Raw genomic sequence first — 15735 nt, 5'->3', positions numbered from 1 at the left:
ATTTATAATTGGTTTTACTGTCTCTATTATTTTCACTAATATTAGTACCCAATTCAGTGACTATGATTGCTGAATGTTATTTATGAACCCCATTCTTTCTTCAGGGCCCCAATTCCTGATGGCAACTTTTCCAGATCCATTCATGCTTTCATTCATTCATTTATACGTTCTTCAAATATTAATTGACTACTATGTGTTAGTTACTGTGCTGACTACTGGGGACATTAGGTGGACAGATGGTTTCTATCCTCAAGGTACATAGTCTAGTTGGACAGAGAGAGAACTGAACCACTGGCTAAAATGCATTGTGATCACTGCATGGAGGTTTGCACAAAGTGCATTTTCTGTCATTCGGCTTATCTTCACAAGCTGAATCTTCTGTACCTCTTTCAGCATCATCACCTACTTTGATGGTTCACTGGTAAAGAGTGACTGGAGTAGGAATCATAGGGATTAAAGATGCTGCTCTTGCAGTAATGTAGCTATGTTACCAGGATAAGGTCATTTGAGCCTCACATCTCTTAATCTGTAAGAAAATGAACCTATTCTTTATTCTTTATGTTCTTCCTGGGAGGCCCAGGGAAAGTTTCAGTGAGAAATACACAAAGATATAGATATCCTGGATTTTAAAGATTGAGATAAGTGTAATGTCGCTATGGTTTAAAAAAATCTTTGTTTTAATTATTGTGTGTGTTTATTTCTCTCTTCGTCTAGCACTTCTGTTCTCTAGATATCTGTGTTAGTTATCTACTCAGACCTCCCTGTGTCTTTCTGGGAGTACTTCTTGCAGGAATTCATCTCATTATTGCAGCCTGACAGAGGAAGGAACTGAATTGCAAGAAAATTGTGGCAAACCTACAAGTGAGCCTGTGTTACAACTCACTTAAGTGACTGAATCTGCATCCCAGGCCGGGCGATTTCTGGATAGCTCGGTCTTGATGCAAGGCTAATCTTTTTTAGTTACTAGTTTCCACTGAATCCTCTGAGTAGAAAGATTATTAAGACTGCATAAGGCATTTCTGTTCTCATTATCCTCTACTTTGGCCTAATGTTCCAAAAAGGAATGCCAGATTTTCTTTTTATAGAAATGGATACCCCAAAGACAGTCCTTGTGATGTTACAGGCTGTTGAGTATGTCTATCTAACATTTTAATTTGCACTTCATTTGTAAGTCTGAGGCAGCATGGTGGAGGTTTCTACTTAATCATCTGGCATTCAGATTGGCTTCTCTGTGCAGGAGTGTATCAGTTTCCCATTCTCATCACTTCTACACGGCACCGCAACCCAAAGAGTGAGGGTGTAGCTGCTCCCCTTCAAAAATAAGAAATGGCTCTTAGAGGCACGTGTAAAAGTGGGGTGATGGGGTCACTGTCCATTAGATATTACTGTATTTGCTATATTAATTTATAAATTATATTACATCTTAATATTAAAGATGCATGTATTTTATATTTATTATTAATTTATATATTTTCACTATATTAATTGTTTTTATATCTTGAGTTTACTGTAATTACTTCTGCTGCAGCATCCGTCATTCATCCATCATTGTGGTGTAATGGAGTAGGGAGGGGAAACATTGCAGCTAGAGCAGACGTCTGGACCATAGTTCTTGCTCCAACCATTATTCTCAAGATAGTCAGGACCAAGACACTTAACCTATCAAGCTTTATTATTCTGTGAGGTATTATAACTGAAAGCTAAATGGAAAAAAATGATCTACAGAATATAAATCATGATTCTGACTAGTGTTATCAATTCGTAACCAAATTTTAAGACAACCTAAAAGACAACTTTTTTGAAGCACAATAAGGCAACTATGATTAACAATTTCTTGTGTATTCCAAAATGATGAAAAGAGTAGAATTGGAGTGTTCCTTACACAAAGAAATGATAAATGCTTGAGATGATGGATACTGATTTGATCATTACACTTTGTATGCTTGTATCAAGATATCACATATATCCCATAAATAGGTATAACTATTAAGTACCCATTTAAAAAAAGACACCTTTAGAAACCGACAACTTTAAAAGCACTTCTTGCCCAACTTTATCACACATATTATTTCTGTTGTATGAGTATATAAGCTTAGCACTCTTAAAACATTATCTTTCAAGACGAAATTCAAAACATGATTTAGAAGAATACATGGCTGTAGGCCACTCAAGTGTAGAAGGACAAGAATCCTCTGACCCTTGTCCTAACCCTGGATTTTAACAAGAAGCACATAGCAGCATCTCAGCTATGAGAACTTCTAATCTGTGACTTTTTAGCTATTCCAAATTTTTTTCCACTATGCCATGATGTCGGCTGATGATGCTGAAGTAGACTGTGGTTGCGAAGATACTAGAATAATGGGAAATTTCTTTATCTTGCAAATTAGGCTGCCAGTAGTAATTGATCTCCTTGTGCCTCTTGGAAAAATCGTCCTCAGATAGTACCAATGAGCATTTCTATTGAAGTAGAGATCTGAGCCCTTGCAGAGATCCCTAGTAAAGGATCTGTCAGGGAGGGTTTTTCACTCCATGTCACAGACTGTCTAAGGGATATGTATTTGCTTGTGCAGAGCTATATTCCTAGAAACCACTCTTCTTGTTGGAGACCAGCTTCAAAATTGGGTCTTGACCTGAATCAGCCTCTTCAAAATCAGGTCACTGCCAGTTCTCTCACTCCTTAACTACAAACTACATGAGAACAAGGACTATGCCTGATTTCCTTAACCCCTCTGTCTCTACTGCATAATATGGTACCAGGCAGTAGGAAGTAAAATTTTGTTTTAGTTTTAGTTTTTTTTTTTTTTTTTTTTTGAGACAGAGTCTCACTTTGTTGCCCAGGCTGGAGTGCAATGGCATGATCTCGGCTCACTGCAAGCCCTGCCTCCCGAGTTCACGCTATTCTCCTGCCTCAGCCTACCGAGTAGCTGGGACTACAGGCACCCGCCACAACGCCTGGCTAATTTTTTGTATTTTTTAGTAGAGATGGGGTTTCACCATATTAGCCAGGATGGTCTCAATCTCCTGACCTTGTGATCCGCCCGCCTCGGCCTCCCAAAAAATTTTGTTTTTAATAAATGCCCCAGAGCAAGGGAATTAGTATTTCCTGTGACATTGGGTTGTCTGCAGAACACTAAAGCTACAACTCCTAAGACTTTCTGACATAGAATCTGGCTTTCTGATGTTGTCGTGTTTTTGCTGTCACTTTTGCTTTCTAATTCTGAGAAGTTTACTGTTCCTGCCCCACAGGAACTTATCAACTGAAGATGCTAGTGTGTACACATGAAAAAACGGGTACCCAAGCAGATATTTTGCATGTCCTTGGGGGGCAGGATAGAAAGGTGAAATCTGAACTGTCTTCATGTTGTCCAGAGTGTTAATTGCATAACAGTCCTCAAAAAATATAATAACTAATTTCTACTGAATTTAATAGCATAAAGAACAAAATACTTTTCTAGATGGTCTCCCATTATTTCTTTCGTCTGGATGGATCTAGCACTTTATGTCCAGCTATTTGAAGATTCAAATTTCAAAATGTTCAGATTTACAAATAAAACCCCACAAAACCATGTTCATTTAACAAATATTTACTGAATGTCTACTGTATGCCAGGTGCTGTGCTCAACCTGGGGATAAAATACTGAACAAATTACCGCAAGGTAGTCTGGTCTGTCTTTATAGAGCTGGCAGAGAAACACATAAGTAGGTGATTCTGTGGACCACTTAGCAAAATCTGCTAACCCAGTGCAGGGGCATCAAGCAACAACTCTTAGAGGAAGTGATAAACAGAACTAGGAAGGTCAAAGTGAGGTAAAGAGACAGTAGTCAGAGGAGGTAAAGAGAGAGAGGAAGAATTCCAGGTATAGAGAAGGACGTTCCAAAGGCCAAGGAGTAAGAGGATGTACAACCTTCAGGGAACTCCAGGTAATACCATTCAATTCCACAAGGATTTATTTGGCATCCACTATTTGCCTAACCCTCTACCAAGTGCAACGATGCCTATTCACATTGTCTTGCTCTGAAGGATATATGGGCTCATAGGATGATCAAAACTTGAGACCTGAAGTAATAAGAGAAGAACAAATAGCCGATCATATAGAATAAAGTGCCAAAATCGGGCCTAGAGGATCCTAAGTGGTGAAATGGAACAGATCTCAATATTGCCTAAGGCCAGTCTAGAGGAATGTGTTACACGATATGTAATAAGCTATAGTTATTACTACTATTTACCATTTAATGTCTTTTAAAAAGTAAGATTAGCAAATAACTTCTGGACACTTATTCTTGTGCACCACAACCTCACTCCCCCAACATACACATACACGCATATACACTCAATATCTCATCTGTAACCAACTTGCCCTCACTTGATCTTTATTATCTGTCATCTACACTATTGCAAAAGCCCCCTCATAGATCTGCCTACCCTCAATCTCATTCTTTTCAAATTCATCCTTCATCCTTCTCTGAGCATTATCTTTTCAAAACACATATCTATTAATATCCTCTGCCCTAAGTTCTGCAAGAAACCTAGCAGAATACAGTCCAATTTTATCAGCATGTCATTCAAGCCCTCTCATTCTCTGATTGCCACACTGGATTGGCACCCTTGGAAGACAGAGACTGTGTTTTGTTTTATTTATCTTTATATATCTCTAATTGCTAGCAAGTATATAGTAAGTATTAGATTAAATTGGTATACTTGAGAGAATGTAAATATATCTCTGCATGTGTATTCATCTCTATCTAGCTAGCTAACTCCTAAATTCTTGTCCTCCAGGAGCTTACAATTTATTAATTGTAGTAGGTAGGTATTATGTATAATGTATTGTCATACTAGAGCAGGTGCAAAAAACATTTACTTGCCCTTAAGGGGTTTAATAGTTTCATAGAGGAATGATATAAAAATGAGTCAAAAAGTTGAAGAAGATGAAAAGAAGATGAGATAGGAAAGGGTATCATGACGATTGATAGGTTGATTGAATCCCTTCCTTGTTTTAAGAAGTATTTAAATTAGCTTATAAGATAACATAAAAGACATCAAGTAATTTAAAAATGTATATGTAAGATGAAAGTGAGACATAGATAAGGGATATCAATTGAGTTGGACCTTGAAAGATCAGTAGAATTTTTAATATTGCAGGAAAAAATGAGACCAAGAAGAGTATATAAATCAAGATAGGAGAGATGTCGAAGGAGTTCATGATGGGTAACCTCAAACTAGTCAAAATAGCAAGGAATTGTGTAAGACTGAGGGGCGTCAAGGTAAGACTAGAGACTTGGGGAATTGTTATGAGGGAGTTTTTATAGGAATCCCCAAGAAAGAGAATTGCTATGCAATTGACACAGTGGCATTGACCTCAGCTTGAGGAATTGTCACATGCCAAGGATAGCAGAAGTATCAGCAGTGAAGGGCTTCAGGAGTAAGGATTCTACACCTCACCCATCCTTGCTTCCCTCTTCCAGGCCCTTTATCTCACCCCAGGCCTACCCCTCCTACCTCCAGCAGTTTTCCTTTCCCTCTCCTGTGGATCCAACTTCCCTCTCCACTAGTGCTTTACCTGCTGCCTGCAAACTTGCTTAAGTGTCTCCTTTTTTTTTTCAATTATTGTTTTAAGAGACAGGGTTTCAACCTGCTCTGAGCGTTATGTTTTCAAAACACATATCTATCGGTCGCCTAGGTTGGGGTGCAGTGATGTGATCATAGCTCACTGCAGCTTCAACCTCCTGACCTCAAAAAATTTTCCCTCCCATCTCAGCCTCCCAGGTGGCCACCACTACAGTGTGAACCACCATGCCCAGCTAAGAGTCTCCTATTCTTTTTAGTTTTTTATTTTTTGAGACAGGATCTTACTCTGTCACCCAACCTGGAGTGCAGTGGTATGATCACAGTTTACTGCAACCTCTGCCTCCCAGGATCAAATGATGTTCCCACATCAGCCCCCGGAGTAGCCGGGACTACAGGTGCATGCCACCATGCCCAGCTAACTTTTTTATTTTTTGTAGAGATGGGGTTTTCCTATGTTGCCTAGGCTGTTCTCGAACTCATGGGCTCAAGCAATCTGCCTATCTTAGCCTCCCAAAAAGCTGGGATTACGGGCATGACCCAGTGCACCCAGTCACCTCCTATTCTTACGAGTGAAAAAAAGAAGAAGAAGAAGAAGAAGAAAATAAAGCAACTTCCTGTGATCCTGTTCCTTCTCCAGCTGTGCTGCACATTTTCTCCTCCCTTACTCATTCAGATTTCTCAAAACAATCGTCTACATTCATTGTCTCCACCCCTTTTGTCTCACAATCCTCTAATCTGGCTTTTGTACCCATAATGGAAAACTCCTCCTGGGGTCCTCATGAGCTGCTGTATTTTACCAAACCAAAGGGCCTTTTCCACTTCCATTAAGACTTCTCTGCCATATTTAACAGTTGGTTCATATCCTTATTCATGAAACTCGTTACCCTCTTGGCATCTGACACGACACACTCTCCCTCTTTTCCTCATTAACTTCATCTTTTCCTTCTTTCTCTCATGGCATTTCCCCTTTCTTCTCAGTGCTGCATTTATCCATTTCATACAGCTACCACCTCAGCCCTGATCATCCCCAAATCTACAACATTAGCCTGAACCTCTCCCCAAACTTCAGCCTCCTCTCACTGTCTGCTAACATCCCCTCCTTCCAGTTCCACAGGCCCCTAAGCATGTCCCAAACAGAACACAGCCCCTCAAGGCTGAGCGCAGGGGCTCATACCTGTAATCCCAGCACCTTGGGAGGCTGAGGTGGGTGGATCACCTGAGATCAGGAGTTCAAGACCAGCCTGGACAACATGGTGAAACCCTGTCTTTACTAAAAATACAAAAATTAGCTGGGCATGGTGGCTCACATCCATAATCCCAGCTATTCAGTAGGCTGAGGCACAATAATTGCTTGAACCCGGGAGGTGGAGGTTGCAGTGAGCCGAGATCATGCCATTGCACTCCAGCCTGGGTAATAGAGTGAGACTCTGTCTCAAAAACAAGAACAAAACACTGTACCTCCAAACCCTCTACCTCCTCTGAAAGTCTATTTCTCACCTGACTCCTTAACCATCAGTTACCCAAACAAGAGCGCTGACAGTTATTCTTAACACTTGTCTTCTACCAATACCTATATTTAATCAATAATCAAGTTCAGTCAGTTTTGGCTCTATAGTATTTCTTTAATACATCACCATTCCTGCTGCTGCTGTCCTAGTCCAGATCTTCATTGTCTCTTGTATTATGGCTGCAAGAGCTCTTTAAATGGGCTTCCAACCTCCAGTTTTAGCCCTTCAAATCCACACTTCAGATAGCCACTGGAGTTTGCTCTCTACATTGTAAATCCAGCCATCTCCCTTCCAGGCATAAAACAACTTGCCAACTGCCCAGAACCACAGGATGAAGCCCACTTCACATCATCGCTTACAAGGCTGGCTACCTGGTCTCTCCCTCCCTGTTTCTTCCACCTGGTTAACTGTAAACTGCTTTCTGGTTTTCACTCTCACTATACCGTTTCTTTTCTCATTGCCCTTGTTCATGCTGCAACCGATCCACGCAGTGCCTTCTCTCTCTTGCTTCAAGCATTGCCTGTATTCTGGTTAACTTTTCCTCATCATTTAGCAGGTAGCAGAGATGTTCCGCTTCCCAAAATGTCTTTCCTGATCCAAAGCTGTGTACTTCAGGAATCTTTTCTCTGTACAGCCATAATCATTGTATGTGCTGCATCAAAAAAATAGTCTCTTTGACCAGGCACAGTGGCTGACGCCTGTAATCCCAGCACTTTAGGAGTCTGAGGCGGGTGGATCATTTGAGGTCAGGAGTTTGAGACCAGCGTGGCCAACATGGCAAAACCCAATCTTTACTAAAAATACAAAACTTAGCTGGGCGTGATGGCATGTGCCTGTAATCCCAGCTATTCAGGAGGCTGAAGCAGGAGAATCACTGGAACCTGGAGGGTGGAGGTTGCAATGAGCCAAGATCATGCCACTGCACTCCAGCCTGGGTGACATAGCAAGACTCTGTCTCAAAACAATAATAAAAATAATCTCTTTATATGCCTTCTGATCCCACCTCCACCTTACCCCTCCCCCAGTGACTTTGAGCTTCTTTAGGAGAGAGACTGCCTCAATCACTTTTGAATTCTCCATACTTAAAGTGTGGGCAGCATGATAGCACTTCAGTAAATGTTGTGAAATGATAGTGTGAGTGAAGGAGGGAATGATTGAATGGGTGAATGAATAAGTCAATGAATAAAGAAGCCCCAGAAGTCTAGGCAAGTTCAGTGTTTCCTGTTGCCCTCATAATTTTTAAGGCAACCTCTAGAACTAAAACTAAAAATGGAAATGATCTCTAATTAACATCTAGTGAAGCATCATCCTTGTTAGGGTTAAATGACCTCAGTAGTTTCCAAGGGAATGGCTCCCATTACTCCTTTTCTACCCACTTGGAAAGGTAAAGATAAAGCCACAGATCATTGGATGGTAAGCTATTCTTAAGTCAGTCCAACTATGTTGCTTAACTGAGCTTACCAACTACAAGCAGAGCTGCTGCAAATATACCTGTGAAGTGAAGCAAGGACCAGGTGATTATGCAAACCTTACATCCTGGGAGCGCAGCCAGCTACATAATCTGTGGAGCTCAGTCCAAAATGAAAATGTGGGGCCCCCTATTCAAAAGGCAGGGGAAAGAGTGCCATTAAAAATACGTACAAACCTTTTTCCTTCCTTTTGTGGTCTCTCTTTAGACTTGTCATGGTGTTTTTTGTTTACTATTTAATGTTCTGTGTAAAGAAACATTAAAATTTTATGTTATTAGCATGAATTTTGTCATTCATTTTTATATTGTGCAATGTTACTTTTAGATGAAAATATTAAAGCATTTAACTCCTATGAAGGAATACCAAATTCCCCAGTTTATATTTTGTGTTTTTATCCAAAGGATGCCTTGATCTGGTCAAAAAAGACAAATACAGGCCAAACCCAGGACGGTTAGAAGGAGGGAGAATGCTCCAGGCATGGAGCTAGCCAAAGGAGCATTCCAAGGCACAAGACACTTGTAGTGAGAGTGCAGCCCCATGCAAGCACCCTGGACCGTGCCTCCTATGCAGGGCACAGGTGCCCCACTGCCAGGCCCCCAACACTCTCCTGACTACCACAGTGTCCTGGATAGAGCAGGGTCCCAGAAAATCTAACCAGGCATCTCTTTTATCCAGTGCCACATTACCTCCATCCATAGCAGACAGGGGACCCCCACCCCGCAAAGGATTTTTAAATCTCTTCATCAGGACATGCTTGATATCTGGATTGGGATAGCTTCTGGCTGGTCACCCATTTGATTTGGAATGCTGCTACCTGTTAGGGCAGGGATGGGCGATGCCATGCTCGGCCCCAAGGTGCCATGGGTTTGAGTGACCCACCCAAGCCCTCCCTCTGCCGGCACCCAGACTCCTGCTAGGAGTGAAGGATGGCAGCAATTTTAGGACTCAACAGAGAAAGGGAGGTTGGGCAGGACTAAAGATAGAGAGACCAATGAAGAGGGTCTCTGGCAGAACCCATCCTGGAGATGCAGCAGGAAGCAAGACCTCCCATGATCTAAGGTGCCAAGCCCAGCGCATGCTCCGTTGTCCCTTCAGACTTCACTTATAACACACAAACTCAAAGAAAAAAATTAGGAAGAACTTCAAAACAGCAACCACAGAAATTAAACCCCAAATGCAGGGCCTGTAGAGTATGGGACCCTGTGGGATGCCAGATCAAGTGACTTTCCCAAGGCCACAAAGCTAAGTAAATGGCAGAGCTGGGGGTGGGGGGGGGAACCCTGAATTTTTCTGCCATCACACATGCTGCCTCTTTCAGAATAGACTATTTCCAGCAAAAACAACATGAAACTAGAAGATTTACAGTGCTATGTTCTAAAAAAAAAAAAAAAAAAAAAAAAAAAAAAAAAAAAAAAAAGTAGTTCCTAGCAGGCATGCTTTATTTTTAGCAATTTTACTTTAGAGTTTATAAAGCAACTTCATAAACATTATGTCACCATATCCTTAAAAGATAAGCATTAGTGTTATCCCCATTGTACGGACAAAGAAAGAGGATTGCTGATCCTGAGTCACACTGCTATTAAAGTGCAGAGCTGTAAGGTGAACCCAGGAGCACTCAATTCCTTTTCTTTTTATTAATAATCCTCAATCCCTGGGTAGAAATTGTAGGAAAGGAGGTTCATGGAGACGACTGGGCTGGCAGAGAAAGACTCCATCCATCAGATCTCTGAGGCAATTCCATGCAGAAGACACTTGTCAAAGCTATGGGAAGCCAGTGGGGTGAGGGGAATTTGATTCCAACACCCATCTTCATTTCCAAAGCAGCTCTGCCACTTACTGTGTGATCTCAGCCAAGTTCCTAGTAATCTTTATGCTTCCATTTTCTCATCTGTAAAATGGGGATGATAATAGCGATATCTATTTTATAGAATTGTTCAGAGGATAAAAGCACAGTGTCTGGCCTGCAGTTAACTCTCAATGAATAGCCGTTATTGTTATTGTTAGTAATAATTTTGTTGGTGAAATTAGATGACTAAGCCCAGGTCTCCTTGCTCCCTCACCATTATGTAAGTGCACCTCTCAATACTGAACACTTATCTGAAGAAAATGACATTTCCCCCAAAGCAAGAAGAATTAATTATTCTTCAGGCAATAGGAGTGTATGAGTAGATGTACTCCTTGTTAGAACCTCCAGAACAGATGCCGTGTTAAAAGGGAACATCTGGTCTAGCCCTTTCATGGCTCAGTTGAGAAAATTAAGACCTAAGGGAGTTAAATTACCTTTTCAGATTTATACAGTTAATTAGTGATAAGCCAGGACTCCTAATCCCGTGCTCATTTCTAATGACTGTTGCTTCTGTTAGACAAACACAACTCTATTACTATCATTGATTTGAAGTATACTTCTGATTTTTTATAATGTCACATGATTATGAAGAACTGTATATTCTTTTTATTTTGGTTGTTATAATCAACCTTATGATCATTATAATTATTATACTTTGAATAATGATTTAAATTTATTTATGCTCCTTGTACACATAAATTGAAGGATATACCAGTATTATTTTCATGGTATGTTCTCTTTTTCCTGCCGGATAGGAAATATTTTCGAGCCATATGGGATCCTAATTCTCTGAATGCTTTTAGATTATCAGATGTCTCAACTGACAGTCCTGGATGAAAATCAAATCATGAGAATTTGCAAAACTGAAAAAAAAATTAAGAACATTTTGGTGTTATGGTGTACCAGCAATTCCATCTTTATCTTTCTTTCAATTAGGGGGGAAAAACACATCAGGCATCCTGCATATTAGAATTTCCAGCTCAAAATTTCAGTGCTTTTCCTATAAACTTACTTAGTGATCTTTAGACTAAATGTTTTTTAATAAATCTAAAAAACTCATGTTTTTACTTACAGATTCATTCTTTCAAGCTTTTATTTTATTCAACACTTAGCAAACAGATGTTAGGGGAGATGCAAAGATGCTTCAGGCATGATCCTTTCTCCCAAGAAGTTTGCTGTCCAGTAAAGGAAACAAGACATATAATACCAAGTAGAAAGAAACATGAAATTCTATAGCTGTTTATCACCTCTTTAACCTAGATAGAGTGTGCCCCCTTTTAATAATGCACCATTTAATTAAATATGAGGGACTTCATGATGCTTTTAGTACCAGTTGAATATTCTGGAAACAAAACTCAGAACCTTTAACTTGAAAAACTAGACAGGAGGACATTTAATTACATTCACTGTGAGAATGCATGTCCCTCCGTTTCTTTCCCCTGTATTTCTTTCAGGTTGAGTAATATTATTCAGTGAAGAAAATGGAGTTAAAAAATGAGAATATCCTTCATGATATAGATGCTATACAAAGGACAAGGATATTTGTGTCCCTGATACAAATTTTCCCTTCATATACAACCCAAGGACAATTAGTGGCCCTAGCCAGTCCCAGAACAGTTCAAAGAGCTCTTCTTAGTGGAGCTCTTACTCAGCTTTTAGTTTAGCCCTTCGTGGGGTTAGCCTCCTGCCTGTCTGCCCACAGCGATCATCTCCTCACACTTAATCCCATTGTTGTGATGTGAGCAAGTTTTCCCATCACCGAATTTTAAACTCGAAAAAGCCAAAACAAAGTTTTCAATGTGGAAAAATTTTTTTTTTTCCTGAAGACATCTTAAGAAAAATGTCTTCAAGACCAAAACCAAAACTAAAAATAAATGTGGGGAAAAGTCAGGAATATTCTATCAGTCAACTCTTTCAATAATCGCCATTCACTGCCCACCAAAGGCATTCCAGATTACAAAGGACCTAAATAAAAACTCTGACTTCTCAAGAGTTCCTGGAAGAGCTACACACTAAGGTCAACCTAACATACCCCTAAATGTTCTTATTGTTTCTGCCCTGTTATGATTATAATGTGTTTGGATTTCAAGAGTAACATTTTTTCCTGTAGAATACCAGGTTTATGTAAAACTGTACTTCCTTTAGAACCATAACTTCATACAATCTCTGGACACCTGTCATCTTCAATTATAAGCTGAAACCCACTCCCAGATTTAGAACCTGTTAGTCCCATGAGCACTTTGGCAATTTTGCATCCGTTTTAGTTTTTAATAGAAACCAAAATCCAGAGTAAAGAAATTCCTTCAAGTCATCTTTTTATGAGAAATTCACAACGTTAAGTCAAAATGAGAAGAGGCAATGCTATAATTGACACACAAACACACACACCCCAACTTGGATCTGATAACTTTCATTCTTCCTAGTATCCCTTCTCTGCTATTCTTTATGTTATCATACCCCTGTCTGCCTAAAATAAATAGTAAATATCCTGTTGCCTCCATTATAACCTCTATTAATTACATGCCACAGTACACATCCCCATCATTATTTTCACTGACAGATAAACACTAGTCAGAGCAACTTAGATGCAAAAGATGGAGAGAGCTTTAAATAACGTTTTTTATGCAGAACTAACCCTTCCATGGCCTATCCTTGCCTGCCTCCAGGTATCCAATGGAGATATCTATCATTGGAGGTCCAAGGACTGTGGGCCCATCGCTGTCACCTTCTCTGAACTGTTTAGCCACTCATCCTGAGGAGAGTCCTTTCTTATGGGCACAGAAGGGTAGCAGGTGAATTTTTCCCTTTTCATTAGGAAAGCAAAAGCTTTTCCAGAAGTTCCCCAATGACAACTTCTGTCACATGTTCAACCATTGCTTTAAAGGGAAGCTGAGAACTTTAGCTTATCCAGCCTCTGCAGTGGGAGGTAGTGAGAGGGAAAGGACTCAGCCTCCCAGCAATGTCTGCCACGACCAAGAAACAGAATTGCTGGGTCCATGGAGTCTGAACATTTTCATTTTCGTAGGTACTGCTAAATCTTTATTCATAGTTGTATCCACATAGAACCTTTATCAAAGACTATTCTGATTTCATCCTTGTCATATGGCTTTTCTCTTTGATTCAAATAAAAGATGCATTTGGCTTGGAGACTTGACCCCCCCCCCAGTGAGACCCATTCCCATAGTCTCCCAAAAGGTCATATTTCATCACATTTCCTTTAGATTATTTATGTTTCTAGGCTGTTATTTCAATTTTGATTGTCGAGCTCAACTTCCATACCTCCCAATTTCTCCATCCATTCTCCACACCGAATCCAGAGTATATTTGAAGATGCAAATTAGTATATTTCCTTCAATGTTTCCCATTGCACTTGGAATACAATCAAAGTCCTTATCAGAGTCTGCAAGTCTCTGTATTGTCTTATTTCCTGCGTTTCTTTCCCAGGTCTTCGTCCCCCTCAGTCACTAAATTTTATTCTTAGTAGGCTTCTGTTTGTTCCTAAAACATGCCTCACCTTTTTCCTCACCTCAGTGCCTTTGCACCTGCTGTTATTTCTGCCTGGAATGTCCTTGTAACAGCTCTTCTCACAGTTAGGCTGCTCCTTCTAATCCCCTCAGGTCTTAATTACATGTCACTTTCTCAGAGAGACTTTCCTCACCAGTCTTTCTAACATAGATCTCCGTTGTTATTTATTTGTTTATTTTTTATTTTAGAACTCCATTGATTCCCTTTATGTCAGTTTTACTACCTGTGTGACCTTAGACTAATTATCAGCTTTTCTGTGCCTTCAATTCTTAGTCTATTATCTGTAAATAAGGATAATAATTGTATATACTAACATCAGAATTTATCATGAACAACAAACAAGACAAAGTGCTTAATAGTCCCTACTAATACAGTAAATACTTGGTATATAGTAAAACTTTGCTAAATAATTATTTATCTATTTTTTTATTCCACTGTTTCCCTTTTTCTCCACTAGACTGTAAATTCTAAAGGTAGAGGGACCTTGTCTGTCCTGATCTCATTGTATCTCACAACCACAGCCCAGTGCCTGGCACATAATAAATGCTCAAAAAATATTTATTGAACAAACAAATGCTGACTACATGAATGAATGACAATGCCTGCCTCAGTGGTAGCTCTGGACTGGACTCTGCCAGCTCATTTCCAGATTTCAGTGACCTCCTGTCTAAGGCAGCCAGATTAAGTGAATAAAAATACATGATGCCACTTAAATTTGAATTTCTGTATTTTATCAGGAAATTCTACTCCCTTCACCACTACCTTCACCCTTAAGAATAAACACTTCCTCTCATTTCCTCCCTCCCTTTCTCTTCCTCTTTGCTCCTTTCCTCTTGTTTGGCTATTTCTGAATGTAGTTCTCAGTGTCAAGAGACCCCATCATCCTTAAATCTGGGGATGTCTGTTCTTTGAAGACAACCATATCTTTGAAGAATTAACGAATCTCCTTTTTGACAGGTCTACACTTCTCAGAGGGCTAAATTATCCACCTTCACCATCACAGGCTCCTTAGCCTGGATAGCCTTCTCAGGAGACTGCAACTCACTCTCTTTTCTCTGGATTCAGAATACATGCAGTGTGGGACACAAATGTCCTTAGCTTGTCCCCAGACATCCTCTGCTTTCGTTCATTTGTAGACACCCTCCTTCTTAAATCTGGCTTTGATACAGACCTAAAAGAAAAACACCCAAATACGATGTTGGCCCTGAGAACTTCATTTTCCCAGTTGACCAGTCAGGTCGTTTGACAAGGCACTGCAGAAGAGCTGAATCTCTCACAACAACCTAATGCCATGCTGATACTTCCTGCCTCACAGCAGGAAACATGGCAAGTTAGTTAGTGCTTTAGCCACAAACACCTTGGGTCACTTTGATTAACATGTTTGGTTCTGGAATACACTAAGGTAGTTTAGAAGGAGAACTAACCAGTTGACCTTTCAGAAGATAAATAATTTATGTGAAATTCAATGTGTTGGAGAAACTCTGGCAGTCACTCCCTATGGTCTGTAAATATAGATGTAAGCTTGTGTGTGTGAAAATAGGGTCATGGGAGTAACTTCTTGGTAACGTTACATATCTATGGACCGGAATCTCCATCCAGAAAATGTCCCCTACTAAACATTTGGTTCTTTTTATGTAGTGAAGGAAGCATCAGCATCAGAGTCTGACCAAATAAAACACAGATCCCAGATCCATCCTATACTTATCTTGTGAACTTGACTCCATAGTGTCACATCTCTGAGACTCAGTTTCCTCCTCTATAAGATGAAAATAATACCACCTATGTTACAAGAGTGCTGTAAGGTTTATAAATAAGGTGGGT

At 40.0% G+C, this 15735-nt stretch overlaps 1 protein-coding gene and 1 long non-coding RNA gene across 52 annotated transcripts in view; one reads left to right on the top strand and one right to left on the bottom strand.

Annotated features, from left to right (window-relative positions):
- Positions 1 to 15735, top strand: part of ANKS1B (ankyrin repeat and sterile alpha motif domain containing 1B) — a 1250151-nt gene that overhangs the window by 876357 nt on the left and 358059 nt on the right. The window lies entirely within an intron of this gene.
- On the bottom strand, positions 3569 to 15221 carry LOC101928937 (uncharacterized). Its single transcript, NR_110095.1, has 5 exons — positions 14960 to 15221; positions 11462 to 11564; positions 11102 to 11218; positions 8720 to 8786; positions 3569 to 4057 (listed from the first exon to the last, which is right to left on the bottom strand). It is a non-coding gene; the product is annotated as an uncharacterized LOC101928937 (long non-coding RNA).

This window comes from Homo sapiens, chromosome 12, assembly GCF_000001405.40.
Source record: "Homo sapiens chromosome 12, GRCh38.p14 Primary Assembly".
NCBI lineage: Eukaryota > Metazoa > Chordata > Mammalia > Primates > Hominidae > Homo > Homo sapiens.
The sequence above is the reverse complement of the archived record's forward strand: the minus strand, read 5'-3'. Positions and strand labels throughout refer to the sequence as shown.